The 22,198-nt window shown below is 36.8% G+C and overlaps 1 protein-coding gene across 57 annotated transcripts in view; it reads left to right on the top strand.

The window, feature by feature from the left end:
- Nucleotides 1-22,198, top strand: part of MPDZ (multiple PDZ domain crumbs cell polarity complex component) — a 173,986-nt gene that overhangs the window by 105,543 nt on the left and 46,245 nt on the right. For 56 of the 57 annotated variants that reach the window (NM_001375425.1, NM_001375420.1, NM_001375419.1 and 53 more), the window contains 3 exons: nt 5,586-5,784; nt 11,355-11,459; nt 16,040-16,132. In NM_001375425.1, the coding sequence (NP_001362354.1) occupies nt 5,586-5,784; nt 11,355-11,459; nt 16,040-16,132 (397 nt within the window). The remainder of the gene's footprint in view (nt 1-5,585; nt 5,785-11,354; nt 11,460-16,039; nt 16,133-22,198) is intronic. The other variant, NM_001375427.1, reaches the window with a different exon arrangement.

Genomic DNA, 22,198 nt, shown 5'->3' with positions numbered 1-22,198 from the left:
CAGAAAAGAGGAGATGTATGATTTAGGTCTAAAAAGAGGAGATTTTTACCACATAGTTGAGGAATTTGAAAAAGATGAAAGCTGCTTAGAAGTAAGGCAGAGAGATGTGAAATATTACTGAAACTGGTTTGTTATGGATGAAGTGTGGTATGATGACTGGCAAAATCAGAGTTGGAACTAAAGGAAGGATAAATGGGAGACAACTGCTGGATGGGTTTGTGTGTAGGACACAGAACTTCTGCTGCAGCCATCTACTGCCTTATCCTTCATGTAGGCAGCGGGAGCTAAGGGTAGAAGAGTGACATGAGCAGATTTGTGTTTTAAGAAGAGCATTCAGCTTAGGTTGGTGAAGCAGTTAGGAGGCTCTTGTAAGAGCCATGGTTTGGGTACATCAGATTTTGCAATCTGGCTATTTGGATTGCTTACCAATTTTTTTTTTTTTTTTGAGAGAGAGTTTCGCTTTGTTGCCCAGGCTGCAGTGCAGTGGCATGATCTCGGCTAACTGCAACTTCCGTCTCCTGAGTTCAAGCAATTCTCATCCCTCTCAGCCTCCTGAGTAGCTGGGATTACAGGCCTCTGCCACCATGCCCAGCTGATTTTTTGTGTTTTAGTAGAGATGGGGTTTCACCATGTTGCCCAGGTTGGTCTTGAACTCCTGAGCTCAGGCAATCCACCCATCTCCGCCTCCCAAAGTGCTAGGATTACAGGCACGAGTCACCCTGCCCGGCCTGCTTACCAATTTTTAATTAATTGTAAGAATGCTGAATTTTGTCAAAGCATTTCTTCATCTATTGGGGAGATTATATGGATTTTCTTATTTATTCTCCTAATATGTCAAGATACATTGATTTTTTATTGTAAAATAGACACAGCATAAAATTGACCATTTTCATCATTTTTAAGAGTACATTTCTGTGGCATTAAGTGCACTCACATTGTTGTGTAGCCATCATCACCATCCATCTCCAGAACGTTTTTTGGGTTCCCCAATTGAAACGCTGTATCCATTAAACAATTATTCCCCATTGCTCTCTCTACCAGTCCCCTGTCAACTACCATTCATTTTTCTGTCTCTATGAATTTGATGAAATGCTTCATGTAGGTGAAATCATACAGTATTTGTCCATATTTGACTGTGTATAATGTCTTTTAGGTTCATCCATGTTGTAGCATGTGTCAGAATTTCCTTTTTAAGGCTGAATAATATTCCATTGTATGTATACACTATACTTTGTTTATTTATTCATCTACTGATGGACACTTGAGTTGCTTCCACCTTAGTTTTTAAGTTTTGATATAAAATATACTAGGTTAATTAAGTTATTGGAAGAAAACAGTGAAAGGTAGAAGTGTCCTTCCTTTCCATCACATCTAGAAACCCATTTAAACCTCCCTCAACAGCCTGACTTTAAAATTAAAGTATAAAAGAGCCCTGTCATTTTTTTAGTGAAAGTAAAACATTTGGCCGGGCGCGGTGGCTCACGCCTGTAATCCCAGCACTTTGGGAGGCTAAGGCGAGTGGATCACCTGAGGTCAGGAGTTCAAGACCAGTCTGCCCAACATGGCGAAACCCCGTCTCTACTGAAAATACAAAAAATTAGCTGAGCGTGGTGGTGGTGGGCACCTGTAATCCCAGCTACTCAGGAGGCTGAGGCAGGAGAATCCCTTGAACTCGGGAGGTGGAGGTTGCAGTGAGCCGAGATCGTGCCACTACACTCCAGCCTAGGTGACAAGAGCAAAACTTCGTCTCAAAAAAAAAAAACAAAAAACAAAGTAAGACATTTAAGTGTGAAATCACAGCACCATTAGTTTACCATTCACACTGTAATATAAAAGTGTAAATCACAATTAGTTTAACTTTTCTGCTTCATTTCCATTATTGATATGCTATGCCCAATATGTTTATAGGGCTTTCTCCCTGGCGTTTTGATTTCCTGGGACCCAGTGAGGTTCCTCTGGCATTTTGGAGTTAAAATTTACTGCATGCCAAGGCAACAACATTACATTACTCTGTTACCTCATTTCAGAGGAGATGCTAAATGTTCAGATTTCTATAGCACTTCGAATAACTAAATGTAAAGGAATCTTGAAAAATCTATGTAAATATTAAAGCATTAAATTAAGCTTTAGTGTAGGAAGGTTTTGGCTGTATAACTTAAAGTAACAAAAAGTGTGATAAATAGTATGTTAGGAAGTCTAAATAGAGGCTGGGTTTGTGCTAGTGGAAAAGTATATTATGAAGAGGTCTATCAATGAGCTCATTTTCTTAGATTCATAGTCTCCCCTTAATCAGCTATATGCAGTTGTTTGCAGTTTTAGCTTTGTGGCTAATTTTTTCTTTGTCTAGTGATGACCAGAAGAAGTTATTAATAAATGACAGCTTTCTGTAAAGGCTGTCATAATCCATTGTTTTGATTTCATGAATCATTTGGGTTTTTGAATTTTGTTAAATTTAGAGTGAAAATATATACAGAAATACAGATACATTAATAAATATACACGTGCATATAGTGACCTTTGAAAAATTCTAATCTTGATGCTTTTTGATAAGTCTGTGGTCCCTTGCTTAATAATGTGGTGTTTGGACTTGAAGGTAAAAAAACAAGGTTCTTCAGGGGAAAAGAAAGGAAGTCTTTATCTTCCCTTCACTGATTAGATACAGAAACATAGACAGACTCAGGAGTTTCTCTGAAATTACTCAACCCTTAAAGGGGTAGAGTCAGAACTCAAGCCTGTCTATCTCTGATTTTCACATAGACCGTACAATACATTCAGTACTTGAGTTACCCAAGGGCACATTATGATTGTTGTACTAACAGGCTTCATTTTGAAGCTGAATTAAGATTTGCATTTAGTCTTTAGGGAGCAATGTAACCTTGATTTGGGGGAGAGATGCATTTTAAACATATTTTATGAGTTTTGTTTTGTTTTTAGTTTTGTGACTAAATTTTGTCGTACACTTTGTGTCAGGTATTTTCAAAGTACTATTACATATGTGTTTCTCACTTAGTTCTTTAAACAACCCTAAGAGTAAATGTCATCCCTTTTTAAAGGTAAGTAAACTGAGGCTCTGTGTGAGGTTAAGTCAGTTGCAAGCTTGTGCTGATTGGAAGTGGTGGAATTCAGGTTTGTAACCAGTTCTCTATTTACAAAGCACATGATTTGGGATTTGGGATTTGGGATATTCTTTAATACTTCTTCCAGGAAAAAAATTGAGAGATCTTACAAGTTACAACCAAAATCTGGTTAGTGGAGATTACCTCCAAGTTATTGCACCTGGAAAATTGTCATTTGGTGAAAGGAAAGTATAAGCTCAGCTAACTGATGTTGACCTCTTGGTTTACATGGTTGATGTGACCTGACAGCCTTAATAGCTGAGAATCGTGAGTTAAATATGCTATTAAAAGTGAATTCAGAGATCATGTTGGCCATAGCTCATGATAGGTTCCATGTCTGTGTCTTGCCTTATTGTAGTCTGCATGGTGCTAATAAGAACAAGATGGTAAGTTAGATTCCCACTGTGATCCACTGAGTTAAATTTTACTTTGTGCTGACACATTTTTATTTTACCAAAGTACAGTTATATTGTGGGTATTGGTGGGAAGGCTGGCTTTAACAGTACAAAATGGAGTACCTTTTGAAAAATTTCAGATTCAGCCTTTTTTCTCACCCGAAACGGTATCTTATTGTTTTATGGTAAGCAGAGGTGTCTTCTTAACAATACACTTCAAAATCGTTAGTATGAGTCTTAACAGAATATTTTAAGTACATTTAAAAATGTTTTATTTCTATCAGAAAACAGTAAGTAGGAGCCTGAATTGCCCACATCCACTATGAAATATTAGGCTAGAAACAAAATCAGAATCATTTTTTAAAATGTTTGAAATATCATATCTAATTTGGTATGAGTAGAATTAATATTTGGAAAGACATCATTTTTTAAATATATAAAAACCTAAAAAGGAATTTGTGACATCTGTCAAAGAAAAGTTTTTATAAATACCCTGGTAGCTTTATATCTCTCCATAGCTTGTTTAATTATATAATTTTGTTTTGGAAGAAACTTTCAGCACTTCGTTTTAAGTGAACTTACATTATTTTTGCAAAGTTTCAAATATAATTTATAAGATTTTATATTTTTCAACGAATAGAATGAGGATAGGATGCAAAGGGAACATTAATTCAGATAGAGTCTGTTGAGAAGGACTTTCTGAGGAAGTGATATTGAAGAGTGAGAGGGAGTTAGCTGTGCAAGAGCTGCAGAAAGAAGGTGTCAGGCAAAGACTTCAAAACGGACAGAGACGAGATGCATTTGTGGCTAGAACTTAGGGAACCAAGAAGGACATAACACAAAGCAAGGATGCACACTGCAAAGGCCAGTGTACCCCTGTCCTACAGACTGTGCTGAGCAAGTATGTTGTGTATTACTATAACAGGAAACTATTGAAGAGTTGCAGCCAAGGGACTGATAGGATATTACTTGTCTTTTTTTTTGTAATGGCCTCTCTGTCTTCTGAGGGAAGTATGCATTGAAGGAGACAATCATGGAAGGCAGGTGACCAGTTAGGAAGGAGGCTTTTGCAAAAAGTCAGGCAAGAGAAGGTGTTGCCTTAGTCTGGAGTTAGTGTCTAAATGGAAAAAGGTAAATGGATTCAAGATAAATTTTGAAGATAGAAATGACAGGATTTGGTGTTGGATTAAATATAGGGGATAAGAGAGAGGTATGCATCAAGAAAGACCCCGGTATTTCTACTTTGAATAATGGAGGGTAGTGTGGTAGTGCAATTTACCAAAAAAGGGAAGAAAAATGGAGAAATAAAGTGAGGTGAAAAATTGCAGGTTCAATTTTATACATGCTAAGATTGCATTTCCTGTGAGACATCCAGGGGATGTGAAAAGAGGGCAATTTAATATCCAAATTAGAAGCTTAAAGAAGTTCAGAGATAAAATGGAAATAGATTAAGTTCATATAAATTCATTTCAACAAACTGTTATACTTTCCCACACCACTGTGGTAGGCTCCAGGTATGAAGACTTCAATACAGGCTTCTTGATGTTAGGAATTCTGTGCTATGCTGTTATCCTAAGCAACCAACATAGTACTTGGCACATATTAGCCATATAGTAAATAGATCCTGAATAAACAAGTGATAAAGAATTAAGGTAATAGCGGATAATTGCTTAATTTACATGATGAATTTTCCTTTTGTAGTCCTTTTATTCTCTTTTATGTGTAAAAGCTGAACTAATATTGTAAAACTGATTTGATACTATCATAGTACTCTCCCTGAGAGACCTTTCTATTCAAGGGGTCAGCACATCACATGGTCTAAATTACATTCATTCCACAATGTAGATCTGTTTTGTTTATAATGTATTGACTATATACAATTTCACAAACATTTACAATTTACTTAAAAATATTTTTTGTTAGAAACACTTTTTCCTGTTTTTGCTATGCTTTTTATTGACTGAAATGTTACTTGTATTTTTTAATCTATAAATCATAGAAATTATTAAATTCAAATTAAAATGAATTGAAAAATCATGTATTTAATTATATTTGCATTTCTCTTTTCCTGTAGGAATGACAGTTAGTGCTAATAAAGATGGCTTGGGGATGATCGTTCGAAGCATTATTCATGGAGGTGCCATTAGTCGAGATGGCCGGATTGCCATTGGGGACTGCATCTTGTCCATTAATGAAGAGTCTACCATCAGTGTAACCAATGCCCAGGCACGAGCTATGTTGAGAAGACATTCTCTCATTGGCCCTGACATAAAGTAAGTATCATTTGAAGCCCAGTTTAACTTGGGAAATTCAGGAATTTCAATTAATCAGAATTCTTTTTCAGTATTCACTTCTGTTTGAGATGCAAACGTTATCACATTTTTTTTAACATAAATCACTCAAGAAATTGACTATTTTTGAGTAGTTCTCGATTGTAAGTTTAGTTTCTTTGAGACTATATCAGTATTAAAAATTTGGAAACGTTGCTTTGTATTTTTAATTATACTTCTCCAGTGATTTCTACAACAACCATAGAAGTGAGGGATGCAATGATTCTCACAGAGCAAGAGGGCCCACTTTTAGGATCTTGGAAAGATGTTTGGATTGGCTTTGATATAAGGAATTGTACCCTACCTAATTGACCTGTGTGAATCCTAGAACTAAGACAGTTCTTTAAGGGCCAGGCATGCAAAAGACAACATAAAACAGTGTCCATCTGACCCAAAACTTACCGTTTCTTGAGCTATCTCATGACCCCAGGGGATAGACCAATATGTTGATATGGTCTGTTTGTAGGTCATGGAGGATATTTTGTCAGGAAGTGCTTAAAATTTCCAATAACCCCATAATGTACTAAAAGCACATCATATATGTGGTTTGTTTTTTAAGTCACTAACCATTCCTTGAGCCAACATAAAAATCAGCTCATTACTTTATTGTGACACTTCATCAATGTGGCATTTTCCTCTAGCATTAATCATTGAATATTTGTTTTTAATGTATGAGGGATAACATCATAAAATAAGAGCTCAGGGAAAGATTGTTTACCTAAAATCGATGTAATGATTACTAGTATGGGGGACTTTTTTGTATTAATGTTATTTTACTGACTACATTCTCTATTACTAGTCCTTTTGCAAAGTATGTATTGCTAGGGCTTAGGTAACAAAAGCTGTACAGACTGTTTTTCATTCTGTGGTCAATAAAAAGAAGAAAAGTATATACCATTTGGAGCAGATTCCGCTGTCTTATATAAAAAGTATTATTTTTAGGCAAAATCTTCACTAATGGGCTTTCATATTTGTGTATGCTTTTTTGACTTTTGTTTACAGTTGAACAGATCATCAGATCATATTACTGTTCCTTAACTGCCTTATAATAATTGGAGTACAAGTAAACATCATTAAAAATGTCAGTCCTTTTATCATAAGAAAAGAGAAACTTCAAGTGTTTTCTTTACCGCTTATGGCCAGTGTTCCATGACTAGATCATGTGGAGACTATGTATTTATCGCAGGGTTTTAGTTTATGTGGATTAGATGTAGTATAAAATGCAGATGGACTAGTAACTGTTCATCTGATTTGTTGTGCCATGATGTACATTTATGCTGTGTGTGCTGATACCAGTCTGCTGCCCACTTTTTGGCATTCTGATCACCAGAATTAGTACTTGGTACTAGCCCTACCACTCAGTTCTAATGTACTGCAGAACTTTAAAAGTCGTTAAAAAATAAGACCATTGTGACACCAGTTTGGCATAAGTCATGCATCTGGTCAACTCTAGAAAACTTTTGAAGTACATTTTCAGGCTCAAAGTCTTTTTTCCCCTTTCCTCATTTTTTTGTTGTGTATTTCCGTTTCCCCTCTCCCACTGATTCAGCAGAATTTACCCTATCATGTGGGCAGAAGCTTTATTATGACTATGAAGGGTATCTAGAGAGCTAGCTTCATAAGTACTTGCTTTAGGATCTCAGGAGGCAAAATGTACTATAGAATCTTAAATTATTTTAAAAAGAAGAAAAATCGTACAACCTTCCCTCCTCTGGAAATCAGTCATCCATTCATTCAGTCAGTGAGTCTCTCTCTCGTGTATGTAAACACACATGCAGACATTCAAAACACGTTGATTTCTTCTCACATGCCTTAAAGATACTCTGATTCAAATGCTTATAGCTTAACTCATTGAGTAATGATAAAAATAAACTAAAATCATCCTTACATAATGCTTTTTCAGAAAAAAAAATATGTTAGATTTTAAAACACAAAGAGCCATTTAGGTTGACCAGGGCTGAGCAGCATGTTCTGTGCATTTTGCATGAAGTGTTTTTGGCCCTTACCACTTGTTTCGTGAAGCAAAAGGTTTAGAATTACCTTGAAAGCTATGTGAATAATCTTCCCAAAAGGAACTTTTAGTCCTTCCATTACTCTGAATAGAACCATAACATTGCCTCAGGCCCATTAAGCTTTGTGCTCATTACCTGGATCTAGGCTCCATCCACATCTCTTTCTCATTATTTTTCTTTATGAACCTAGCTTAATCTGGGTGGTGGTGGAGGGGTGTATTGTAGGAACTTTAAAAAAGGAGACTGTGGTTGAGTTACATAACTGATTGGTTTTAGGGAAAGCATTGCTTATTGAGAGAATGCACTGGATTTCTTTTTTGCCATTTACGATAGATAGCTAGGAACTTTTGTGTGTGTGTGTTCATGCATGCATGGGTAGATAATTTGAGTTTCAAGAGTTCAAGAACAGCCAGTTTAAGATCCAGGTTTCATTATTTTCTATGGAAAACCAGATGCGAAGCCTCACCAGAATGCATTCTGTTTCACTTCTCCCTCCACCTTGCCAGGAGCTCTTATATTTCTGTAATAATAGCCAGGGTTTTGTGCTTAGCAGCAGCTGCTTATAACATCTGCCAGATAATTACTGAGCTGAATCAGAATTCACCTGCCTTAACCTAAAGTGTGGGATGAATTCCTGATCAAGGAATAAAAGACTGATTGCAGTTACATTTTTTCATGCTTGTTAATAATCACTGCTATAGACACTAGTAAAGAGCAGATGCTTTTCTGGGGGAGGTGTAGATGGGAGGGAGGTGGAAAGGGGGAAAAAAAACAACCAGGAGCACCCACTTTTAACTACATATGTATGCATCTCACATTCAGCACAAGACATTGACATTTGTTAACACCATTGTAAAAAGATGCCGCGGCGTATGCTTCACATTCTAGATTTTCTGCAGCACCTGCTGACGATCGAGCCCCCTTTTATGTGTGAGTATCAGTGATTCGAAAGCTCATTATGGCTGTGTGTTACAACTTGTCTGTGAAAACAATTTTGTGCTTTTGTAATGTCCCAATGCAAGAATAGATCCAGATATAGATTTTGTATATACATTTTAGATTGTTTTCTTTGTTTAAGTAAGAACATAAAATCCAACAGAGCTATGAGATTGTTACGTTTTCACATTGTACTGATGATTGTGAACTCATTTGAAAATCATATTTTCCAATTATGAAGCTTTCAAGCTCCTTTGTAAGGGAACGATCCTGTCTGCACGTGCAGGAATAGTCTCTGCATTAATAGCCATATCACATTTCAGCATCTCTAATGGTATTCTTTTTTCTTCTAGTCCATGTGTAACCAAAAGTTAGTCCATGTGTATCCAAAAGTTAGTTTGAATTTTTAATTCAACTCTCAAATAAGCATTTCAGTGTGTTCTCGCAGCTCATAATTTAGCTTTGGCATTTTTGCTGGCGATTTGGAAGTTCTGTATGATCCTGTGACCAGGCTTGTGCTAGCATGGCTCTGCATGTTCTGTTGCATTGTGGGATGCTTGTTCTGGTGGCCTCACTCTCTGTAGTGGCTAAATAGTTAGGAAAACTACCGTCTCTACTCTTTCTCACTGCTATGCAAAGTATCAGAAAAATATTTGTAAATGCCTACACTCCTCACCTTTCGGTAAAATAAAAAACAACTTTGAACAAATATAAAGAAAAACTCATTTTTAACATTGTTTGGGATGGAAACATCTTTACCTTCTTTCTCAAACCAATAAAAAATTAAAGACTTCGTACTGATTGCTATTATTTTTGCTATTCTATCCTGCCTTTCTTCCCTGACCTTTTCCTGGCTTTTTAAACTTACGTTTTATTTATATGAGTTTTACTGAATCTTTAGGAATAATACCAGTTTTCTTGAATAAGCTTTTCACATTTTAGGTTTTATGTTTATCTTTATTTTATTTTTTCATTGTTTAAAATATAATCAGTCTTCTTTCCTGACATAATGTATTATTTGAAGGGCTAAAAGCAAATTTGCTATTCAATATATTTTTGTAGCACCATAGAGAAGATGTCTTTATAGATGAATAAATTAAATAGGGCCAGAATTGGAATGCAACTTTTTCAGCTAGCCTAGTCTTAAATCCATTGATCTGTACTTTGATTCAGTTTTTGACCTTTGAGGTAAAAGTGTCACGAAGAGATTCCCAGAGGCCCCATGTATTCTGCCCAAGTGATCAGTATGACCAGGAGAGCTGATGACCTGTGATAGCACTCACTTCTATTTGGATTGTGCTCCTCAGCTTACAGTAGCTTCACAAAAGTGACATCCTTTTTGTGGTAGAGGGTATGGAGGTTCAGCAGTGGTGATTTACCCCATGACACTCTGCGTGGTAGCAGAACTGTGTCTTCCGACTCCAAACCCAAGTGACCTCGCACTTTGAAGTGAAAGAGTGAATGCTTTCTATAGAATAACCAATATATTTGAAATTATGTATACTCCTCTTTCAGTAAATTATGACATTGGTATAAATTTTTATTTTATTACAACATAAAAGACAATCTTTTTATCTTTGCCCTCCAGTGCTGAGGTTTTGTATACTTATTATTTTAACAGATAAATTATGGACAGAGGGTTTAATAATCTTTGTGATTTCTAATTTTTAGTTGCACAAACATGCTGTATTGAGTTCAGATACAGTATTTCTCTTATGTTACTATTCATTAATTTGAAGATCTTGAAACAGTTTACTTTAAAAAGTATGTCCACCATGTCAGAAGCAGGACAGCAGGACAGCAGTAGACTTGAATTTTCATTTATCAGTTTCTAAACATTACAGCAGGAGTCAGCATCTGGCACAGTGTCTTCCGCATAATAGGCATTCAGTCAGTACTTGTTGAATTAGTAAATGGCCATTCACGTGTAAATAGTAGTCTTTTCTTTGAGACCAAAGTGAATTTTTTAAAATTGCTTCAAATTAGTAAGAGTCTTTCCATAAACTCAAATGGTTTAATCTCATACTTCAGACTTAAGAGTTCATAACTTAATAGAGCTAACATAATTATTGAAAATGCTTGTTAATCTCTAGAATTAATTATGTATTATAGAAAGATGCAAAGTAATTTGTGATATTCAGCATTTTAATAGAGTATACCTAATTTGTTTCTGCTAGAGATCCCAGAAATCTTTGGGCAAAATTAATGTTATTGCTGACAATCATTATTCTAGGGATTTATAGATCTTCCTAATTTAAAAAAAATTGTTGTTAGCCTTTTCATTTGATAATATAAATAATTGTTTTCCTTCTCTGCATGATGATTGGTAAACACATAGTTAATCAGCAGCATTTAAAAACTTAGTTTCTGTTGTTACTCTTCCCTATAGAATACTTTATCCTATTGAAGTTTGGATTCTCTGCTGAATATACTGATTAAATGAGTTGTATGAAAAAGTAGGGAGAAAGGGACAATATGATTTGTTTCCTTTATTTTAGAAGCTTTTCCTAACAATTAGGCAAAATATTATTTCCCTTCACTTCCATGGATTCTGGTTTGTTCCAGAATTACTTATGTGCCTGCAGAACATTTGGAAGAGTTCAAAATAAGCTTGGGACAACAATCTGGAAGAGTAATGGCACTGGATATTTTTTCTTCATACACTGGCAGGTAAGTGAAACATTAAATCTAATACAATGAATGGTACAGCAAGTTGTAGAGAATTTGGAATTCAGAGTCAGGGAGGACTAGAGCAAAGAAAAGGTCTGAATCCTTTTCCTCTTTCAAGATTTTAAAAAATATTCTTCCCTTTCCCTCAATTATATAAGTAATTATTATATAGTATGGAAAATTTGAGAAATATATAAATATTCAAATTAATAAATTAATATTTAATTTTACCACACAATGTAGCACTTTTAACATGTTGAGTTTTGATAATTTGCCCCAAATGAGTATTATTCCATTAATTTCTTAGAACGTAAGAAATTGTATGATTTTTTTACTCTTTTAATATTAGCAAACTTCTTCAGAAATGTTATTTATTCTTTTATTAACATGCATACAAATTCAGAATTTTTTTCTTTTTTTTTTTTTTGAGGCAGAGCCTCACTCTGTTGCTCAGGCTAGAGTACAGTGGTGCCATTACAGTTAACTGCAGCCTCTACCTCCTGGGTTCATGCAATCCTCCCACCTCAGCCTCCCAGGTAGCTGGGATTATAGGTGTGTGCCACCACATCAGGCTAATTCTGTATTTTTTGTAGAGATGGGGTTTTGCCATATTGCTCAGGCTGGTCTCAAACTTCTGAGCTTAAGCAGTCTGCCCACCTCGTCCTGCCAAAGTGCTGGGATTCACAGGCATGCACCACCATGCCTAGACCAGAAACATTTTTTATTTGTAATTTTCTTGCTCTTTTGGAGAATGTTGAGCTGAACCCGTTAGCATATATGCATGTTAGGAAACAGTGTTTGGCTTTTTAAAGGCACTTGATATACAAAGTATTAAGAGCCTTTAAATAATAAAGGGAACGTTTTCTTTTTTCTTAGGAAAGGCAGGAACTGGGTTTTGATGCTGCTGCTGACTGAGTCAAGATCAGGGAGAGAAATAATGTCAAACTGCTTTTCCATGAAGAATGTACCATTTTACACTCTCAGTTGTGGGCCTGTGTTTTTCAGTTGTGCTGGCAACTGACTACCAAATTTCTTGTAAGCATGTGGTAGAGCAGAAATGGCCTTGCAAGCACTCTGAGGTCTTCTCAGAAGAGAGTTCTACAATTCTTTTTTTTTTGAGACGGAGTTTCACTCTTGTTGCCCAGGCAGTGCAGTGCAATGGTGCGATTTTGGCTTACTGAGACCTCTGCCTCCCGGGTTCAAGTGATTCTTCTGCCTCGGCCTCCTGAGTAGCTGGGATTACAGGTGTCCACCACCATGACCAGCTAATTTTTTGTACTTTTAGTAGAGATGAGGTTTCACCATGTTGGCCAGGCTGGTCTTGAACTCCTGACCTCAGGTGATCCACCAGCCTCGGCCTCCCAAAGTGCTGGGATTATAAGCGTGAGCCGCCATGCCTGGTCGAGTTGTACCATTCTTTAGAGGATGTCAGAACATCCCAGAACACCACGGTCTCCAGTGACCTTGCATTCATTGTGATCTTGCTTCACTGATTCCTCTGCACATTACAGATGACTACAGAATACAGAAAGTGTCAGGGAAGGGGAAGGTATGTTATTTGTTTAATAAAGGGAAGGAATGGCATGGTCCTTGGGGCCTCATGAATATTATGGGAAAAGGAGTATAATTGTCCCTCATTATCTGTTGGGGATTGGTTTCAGGACTCCCCATGGATACCAAAATCCACAGATGCTCAATCCCTTATATAAAAGGGTGTAGTATTCGCACATAACCTATGCACATTCTCCCATATAGTTTAAATCATCTCTAGATTCCTTATAATACCTAATACAATGTAAAAGCTATGTAAGTACCTGTTTTATATATATATATATATATATATATATATATATATATATAATTTTAATAATGACAAGAAAAAAAAGTCTGCACATGTATTTTGCAGATGCAACCATCTATTTTTTTCCCAAATATTTTTGGTCTGCTGTTGGTTTAATCCATGGATGTTGGACCCAAGGATACGAGGGATAGGGGAGACGCCTATATTTACTTTACACTTACAAAGCTCAGCCACACTCCAGGATTTCCATTGTAGGGTTAATGGCATGAGTTGGTTATAGTTTCCTGGTGCTTCCTGTCAAACTGGTAAAATCAATTATTTCAATGTCCCTCTGAAATATTGTGTCAAATGACTTACTTAAAGAATACACCAGGTAACATCTGAGTCCTGTTAAGTTCTAGGGCCTTAAAATACTCAAAAGTTATTAGAAAGAAAGCCACTTTGAGCACTGTGCTTCCTCCAAGCACAGACAAGAGGATGGCCTGGATTGTCCTGTGCTGTGACTAGCTGCTTCACTGCAGAGAAAGTATATTTTCTGTGGATATCAGAATGCTTAAAATAGAACACATGGATATGCATTTTTGGTGGAACAATCTGCAAGAGAAAGGTTAAGTAACTTTCCTGCAGCTAATTAATGCCAGAGCCAAGTGTAGAATGTAAGCATACTCCATGTTCTTACCATTGGAAGCAAGGAAGGAATTGCACAAGTCTACGAAGCATGTGCCATATAAAAATATGTGGCAGCATAGCATGAAAGTTAAGAGCTCAGGTTTTATGGTAAGATGGCCTCAATCCAAATCTCACCTATGCTGTCTGCCAGTGTCTTTCTCATCATGTGTCTTTCTCACCATGTGACTTTCTGCCAGTTACTTTACCTGGTACATATTTGCAGATATAAAGAGATCTACTTATTATAGTTGATAACATTTTTGTTGGTATTCAGTGGTTTAACACAGTGGAAAAGCAGTTGATTGACTTCTTTCTTGGCTGAGTGCATGCAGGAAGACATGACACTTGAGTCCCTGAAACCACACACTAAGATGAGTAAACAATAATCAGCACCTATAGAGGAGCATATATGGGGTTTGCGAAAGGATTCAAGATTATAGAATCATCTGAAGAGACTGGGGTCCTTGTATTGGATTATTCAGGATATTTATCTTCTTGTACCTAAAAAGGAAGAAGCAAGATGCATTGTGGCTACGGTGTTTCTGAATAGCTCTCACTGCTTAGGCTTTAGGGCTAAGGACCTCCCCCCATCCCCTGCCTGTCACTGAATATTTTAAGGACTGTTTCTAAGTTCTAATTCTTGTCTGTCTTCTAACTCTGCTTTCTTCGTCATACTCTGTCCTGTTGTATTTCCAGGTCAGGGCTAATTTTTACCTCTCTGCCTTGCATCCTCTGGACAAAGATTTCACTTTTACTATTTCTCTGTCAACTCTTTGACATTGTTTTTAGGATCTCCCTCTTGGAGCTCTTCCCACCAGTCCTACCCTAGTGTCAGACTTAGACTCTAGGAGCCCTACCCTCATTCGAGGCGTTATTCTTTAATTGCACAGGAGGGAAATTCAAACACAAAACCAATGGGTAGGACCTATAGCAAAGAGATTTTATTCTAATAGCTTAAAAACAAAAACTTAACATTCAGGTCCAAGAAAGAATGAGATGTTCTTGGAGAGCCTGGACATTTGCTTGCCAGAAATGTTGCAAAGCGCATTCAAGCTCAGATGGATGACTGGATTAGATGACTTCTGATCTTTAATTCAACATATTATATCAGTTGAGACAGTTCAGTATTCCTGTCAGGGGAGAATGGCTGTAATTTTACATACTTTCTTTTGATTCTTCAGTTTCTGTAAATATCAACTGAAAACATTTATTGAATCAGAGTTTTTATAGCCTTCTCTGCTTTAAGAGGAATATGTGGACATATTTCTTTAGAAATCCAATTTTTACCAACAGCCAAGGCACAGGCCATAATCAGTTTAACCATTCTCTATTGTCCTCTCAGCCTCATTTATTGATACAAAGTATTCCTTTGGACTAACAAAATATTTCTTGATGTTGTTATTATTGTACAGTTTTCTTTACAGTCAATCAGTAGACTGGACACATTTTGTTACATGCCTGGCATTTGGCAAAATCTAAATTGCTACATAAACGGAAGGTGACCTTGAACACAGACGCGTTGTAAACTGCTTCTTCCATTAAGAAGTATTCTGTGCCAGGTTCCTCTGGATGGGGTGAAGCTGGACCAAAGTCTTTCACTTAATTTTTCAAAAATGGAAAGAAAATCATTGGTCCATCCTTAGGAAGCAGAGATACTAAACTCTTGGCAAACTTGATTAGAAATTCATTCAGGACAAGGTTCAGGGCTGTGCATACATGCTTAAAACCTACATGGTGCTTCTAGCTTCCTGCACATTATAGGAATTTAAGACATGCTTGTTCAATGGGTTTTCTTTACAAACTTGGTATTTATCCTATTTTCCCCATTCCTTTCCTTTATGCTCCTATGTCTCATCAAGGAAAAAACAGACTAGACAAGAGTCTTAGTGTTCAGCTCTACGCTATGGTACGTTGATTCTAAAGCAAGGTTTTAATTTTGTTTGGTTACGTTTTTCTTCCCCCCGATGTAAAAATATTTTATACTTATGGCCATGTATGGTGAAAACATAAAACAGTCCTGCATTTTTAGCTAAATCAATAGTAGAGTACATATAATCTTGCATGTTTTTACTAGGATTTTGGGGTACTCATTGTGTAATTCTTTAACCAGAGACATTCCAGAATTACCAGAGCGAGAAGAGGGAGAGGGTGAAGAAAGCGAACTTCAAAACACAGCATATAGCAATTGGAATCAGCCCAGGCGGTAAGGACTATTTCTGTCTTCTGTCCACCCAATGGATATATAGTGTTTAAAGATAAGCAGGTGTGGTTTCAAGTACTGGATTACAACTTGCTTCTTGTTATATCGGGTGAGTTGTTTAATACTTCTAACCCATCATTTTTTAATGTATACAGTGGAGAGAATAATGTGTATCACACAGGGTTAAAACTAACATATATGGAGATATCTGGCACATAGTAGGGACTAAATTAAAGAAAATTATTCATAGGTAGTTGGAATGGATAATACGTTCTGTAGAGTTTTATCTTAGGTATACCAAAAAGTATTCATTTAAATTTTACCTAGCATTTGTAGAAACTAGATAGGCAAACATATATATTCAGAACGTGTGTGTGTGTGTGTGTGTTTGTGTGTAAAAGTACCCTCATAGCCTTGTTACCACAGGCTGAGTTTATCCTAAGTCATAATCTGTCTAGCACCAGTTTCATGTATAATAGATAAGATGACATCCTCAAATATACTTAGATGTATCACGTGCATCACTAAAACATACTGATGTGTTTATGCTGAGTAAAATCAACTTTAGTTTAATAGGAATTTACTGAGTCCTGATTATGGACCTAGACTTAAAGCCAATGATTTTGTGAATAACAAGGAAATAAATAGAAGATGCAAATCCTGCCTCAAGGAACCTCTAATGTACTTGGCTGGGCAAGATGTAGAGACACATGAAACAATTTAAGAACACAAGGTATTTCACCTTAAGAGTAAAACATAGGTAATCAGTGGACATCCACCCCAAACAGACCTAAAGGTCACCATCACAATGTGATGCTTTGTGTTCAGTAAACATTAATATTTGTTACATAGTGAATAAATAAAATGCTCAAGAGAAGAATTTGTAATATTCGTAAATGCCAGTGCAATTTAATGACGTCCCCTGCCCACCAGTGATAACCTGCAGCCATCACATTTAAATATTTTTAAAATATAAAAAACACTATTTTATGTTGCTTTCAAAGAAGCAGCATGTATTTCCAGCCATCTAACATGAATTTCTTATTTGAATTTCATCAAAAGTCACTTAACTCACTTAAAAAATCCCAAGCTCTCTATAGTGCTGCCTACATTGAGAACAGGGTATAAGTGCTAGATCTGTGGCAGAAAATATATTCTGAGGTGTTAAGTGTCTTATTTATTTGTGGATAGAGGTAGAAATAAGTTAAATGAAACTGTTTTGTAGCAGGTAGTCATAGTGATAAACTTGAATTTTTTAGGAGGACAGTAATCACAGGAAAAAAAGATAGGTTGGTCAGTTTTAGTAACAATATTATGAGAGGAAAAGTAGATTTTAGAAGGTGATATAGTTTGGCTCTGTGTCCCCACCCAAATCTCATCTTGTAGCTCCCATAATTCCCACATGTTGTGGAAGGGGCCCTGTGGGAGATTGAATATGGGGGCAGGTCTTTCCCATGCTGTTCTCCTGATAGTAAATGGGCCTCAGGAGACCTGATGGTTTTAAAAACGGGAGTTGCCCTGCACAAGCTCTTTTATTTGCCTGCTGCCATCCACATAAGATGTGACTTGCTCCTCCTTGCCTCTGTCATGATTGTGAGGCTTCCCCAGCCATGTGGAACTGTAAGTACAATAAACCTCCTTCTTTTGTAAATTGCCCAGTCTCAGGTATTTCTTTATCAGCAGCATGAAAAAGGATTAATACAGAAGGCAGTATGCAAAATGGTTGGTGTCAGTAAGAGCCATGTTAGGATTTTGGCTCTGATACTTTCTAAGACAAGTTTCTTAATCTCTGCTAGGTCTCTGCTACTTTATCTGTAAAATGAGGTTAATAATAGAATCTTTTGAATTTGGGGGAAAATTCAGTGTCATCTAAAATCCTTAGCAGAGTGCCTGGCACATAGTGAGTCAGTGGTTGGCTTTGTCTATATTGATAAAATATTTGTCACTGGTACCTAAGCAAAGAGAAAGCCTTTGACACAGAAATCATGAAATTTTCTTATGAGAAAGAAGAACATAACTTCTGGACTGGAAAATTTTTATGCTTTTAACCTTCATGCAATCCTAAGATAGCTCTAAAGGTGCTAACAACCTTACGTGAAGAATACCTCCAAAGATTCCATAAATCCTTCTAAGAAGGTACTCTGTACTCACTAGTGTAGTGGTTCTCCTAGATTCACTAAGCTACTTCTAGGGGAAGTTCATAGAACATGAGAAGAAAGCTTAATGGAGTAACCAGAGCTTTTAATAAATTAGGAGTTAGTGTTGTGAACATGGTTCATAGCATTGAAAACATGATGGGACAGTCATTCATGAAATCAACAAAAATGTACTTTGTATGAAAATAGAGAATTTTTAGCAAAATATAAATTTTAAGATTATAAAATGGGCTGTATTTTATTTTGCATGTGATTTTCATTTTACACAATTGATATACTACTACATGTATTATTTTCCATTTTGCTTAATTTTTCTCTCAATTCTTGACGTTTTGTAAATCTATCAAGCTTGATACTTAAAGATCTAATTCATTCAATTTAGTTGTTGTGTTGCATTTCAATATGTGAATATACCATAGTTTATTCATTGTCAGATTCATATTAGATAGTTAATAGTTATTTGCTATTATAATAATTCTGTTCAGTAAATATATTTATTTCTTTATACTTACACATGAAAATTTATCTAGGGAATATATCCAGAAGTGGAATTGGAATTGCTGGCCTGTAAGTTTATATGCATTTTTTACTTTCAGTTGTCAAATTGCTTTTTAAGGTTGCTATACCAATTATTATTATTATTTTTCTGAGACAGAGTCTCACTCTGTTGCCAGGCTGGAATGCAGTGGCACGATCCTGGCTCACTGCAACCTCTGCCTCCCAGGTTAGAGCGAATTCTCCTGCCTCAGCCTCCTAAGTAGGTGGGACTACAGGTGCGCACCACCATGCCCAGCTAATTTTTGTATTTTTAGTAAAGATGGGGTTTCACCGTGTTGGCCAGGATGGTCTCGATTTCTTGACCTCATGATCCACCTGCCTTGGCTTCCCAAAGTGCTGGGATTACAGGCATGAGCTACCACACCTGGCTGCTATACCAATTTTTATTTCTATTTCCAATATATGAATGTTCCCTTTTCCCCACATTCTTGTTACCACATCATATGATCATTTTTTAAAAAGTTTTTTGTCAATCTAATGGGTGGAAAATGGTACTCTTTCTCAATAAACAAGGTGTGGTAGGTATAACAGGATTGATCAGATAGGGTGAACATTTGCTCATTTGTTGTATGGATTGAGTTTCAGTTTCATATCTTGCTTTCATTACTGCAGTAATCATCACCTTCATCACCACCACAACCACCACCATCATAACTAGTAATAAAAGATTTATCAATTGCTTATTATGTGCCAAAGCTTTTGTTTTGGACCCTACATGTATTAATTAATCCTCACAGAAACTCTGTGTAGAGACTCTTGTTGGCTGTATTTCACAGCTGAGGAAAGTAAGACAGAGACTAAATAAATGCCCTGTGTCACATAATCATTAAGTAGCAAAAGAGCAGGACTGGAACCCAGAGACTCAGTTCACAGCTCAGGCAGTCTGGCCTCAGAGCTGTGTTTTACCTGTGTCTTCCTGAATTTCATTCTTTTTAAACCTATGTATAAAACTCAAATAGGCTGCCTTTTTTTTCCCTACATAACGATCTCTGAAATGAACATATTCTGTAGTTTCTTTTCTAGGCCTCCTTTTTCTTTCACTGTGTTTCTATTGTCTGTTCAGTGAATAAATGAGTCTGGTTTCTCATTACTGTGTCATTTTGGCAGTTCTGTCTTTGATTACCTTCTTCATTGTTTTAAGGATTTACAACCTTTACTTCCAGGGAGGGTATTTTGCTATCTGTGCCAAACCCTATGAGAGCAAAGGTGCTATTATCCAAAGGTTACTTAACCTCTCTGTGTCTCTTCTCTTCTTTGTAAAATGGGGCCAGTAAGAATGTCTACCTTATAGGTATGATGTGAAAATTAAATGAAAGTATATGTAACTTACTCAGAGAATAATACTGAGGACATGGTACAACCCTTAATAAACATTTGCTGTTACTTATGTTTTCTGTATTACTCAAGAAGTCATAAGAATCACTTTCTAATTTGCACCAAACATAAAGAGCCCTTGGAGACATTTTCTTTCCTTCTTTCTTTTTTATTTTATTTTATTTTTTATTCTTAAGAAAAGAGTTAAGGAGTCCTACCTATGTATTCTGGGTTGTTAAATATTTACACTTGTGGCTGAACTTACTATATGTAAAATGTACTATATGTACAATGGCTAAACTTACTAACTCATTTGCCACTTTGCCTTAGGAACTGCTTTAAGAAAACAGGGAAGGGACAGTTGTGGTGGCTCATGCCTATAATCTCAGCACTTAGGGAGGCTGAGATGGGAAGATTACTTGAGCTTAGGAGTTCCTGAGCCCAGGACATTGAGGTTGAAAGTCAAGGCTGCAGTGGACTATGATCATGCCACTGCACTCCAGACTGGGCTGCAGAATGAGACCCTGTCTCAAAACAAAAACAAAAACAAACAAAAATAGGGAAGGATGGTGGATGTTGGTTCTTTTCTGTCACAGAATTTCTGGAGTAAGAGAAAACAATGAATGGGATTTTAACTATTTTATTCACAAAAATTTTATAAGATCAAGGATCATGGTAAGGTCGTTTTAAACTAAACAGGTAGAGTTTCTAGAGTTATAGATTTGCAGTCAAGAAAAAGAGTTACTGGCCAAAGGAAGATGTGCCTCAGTGTCTGCTTTCATTTCAGCTGGTTCCCATCCTTTCCTCTTTGTGGTGCTCTTTCATTCCCAGCCTCTTCTTACCTCAATCATTTTGCAGGATTCCTTACTTCAACCTTTCCTCTTCTCTAGGAACTCCTTAAATGTCAGTGTTGAAGACATGTTTGACAATGCTGTCTTATCCTACTTAATGTCCAACATTGTCTTCCTTTGTGCAGCATGGAGCAGATTGCAGGGTCTCATCATCTCCTTAAAGTTCTGTTTCGTCGATTTTCCTCCAACACCCTGAACTCTGACTCATCTAGGCCAAAGACCTCACTGCAAATCACCTTACTCTTTCTTACATCCTGCTTTTTCACAAGATGTATGTGCTTTAAATATACTCATAGCGCTTACAGCTATTTGCAGTTATTACATATGAATTCATGTCTTTATTTTGTGGGTATAGGAAATGTGTTCAAGACAGAGGAATTAGCAAGCACCGAGGCCCCAAGGCGGGAGCATACCAGATGAACTTAAGGAATAGTAAGGAGATGATGTGGTAGCTAGAGTGGAGAGAGGAAAGTACAGAGCCCATGGCAGGTATATTAGTCCGTTTTCATGCTGCTGATATAGACGTACCCCGAGACTGGGGAATTTACAAAAGAAAGAGGTTTAATGGACTCACAGTTCCACGTGACTTGGGAGGCCTCACAATCATGGTGGAAGGTGAAAGACACATCTCACATGGTGGCAGACAAGAGAAGAGAGCTTGTACTGGGAAACTCCCCTTTATAAAACTATCAGATCTCATGAGACTTATTCACTATCATGAGAAAAGCACAGGAAAGACCTGCCCCCATGATTCAATTACCTCCCACCGGGTCCCACCAACAATACGTGGGAATTGTGGGAGCTACAGTTTAAATTGAGATTTGGGTGAGGACACAGCCAAACCATATCAGCAGGGGAGGTTAGGGAGGTAGTGAGAGAATCATATCCTGTAGGATTTTGGCAGTCACTGCTCTTCATGTCTTGACTGTTAGTGACCAGGTCTGCCTTGGCAAGAATGACTTCTCCTTCTACAGAGGTGGGTTTGTGACATAGTGTGTGCAGGAGTGTTCTTTCCCTTGATTTGGTTGCTAAGCTTAGAAGCTGCTATCTGTTTAGCAGTAGCTGATTTTTTTGATTACTTAATATATGTAATACTAAGATCCTGTAAAATCATCCTTTTACACTGGTATGTGCCACAGCCTGGAGTATGAGTCCAGTTTTACTTATAACAAATCATTTTCAGAAATACA

This window comes from Homo sapiens, chromosome 9 (assembly GCF_000001405.40).
Source record: "Homo sapiens chromosome 9, GRCh38.p14 Primary Assembly".
NCBI classification, from domain to species: domain Eukaryota; kingdom Metazoa; phylum Chordata; class Mammalia; order Primates; family Hominidae; genus Homo; species Homo sapiens.
The sequence above is the reverse complement of the archived record's forward strand: the minus strand, read 5'-3'. Positions and strand labels throughout refer to the sequence as shown.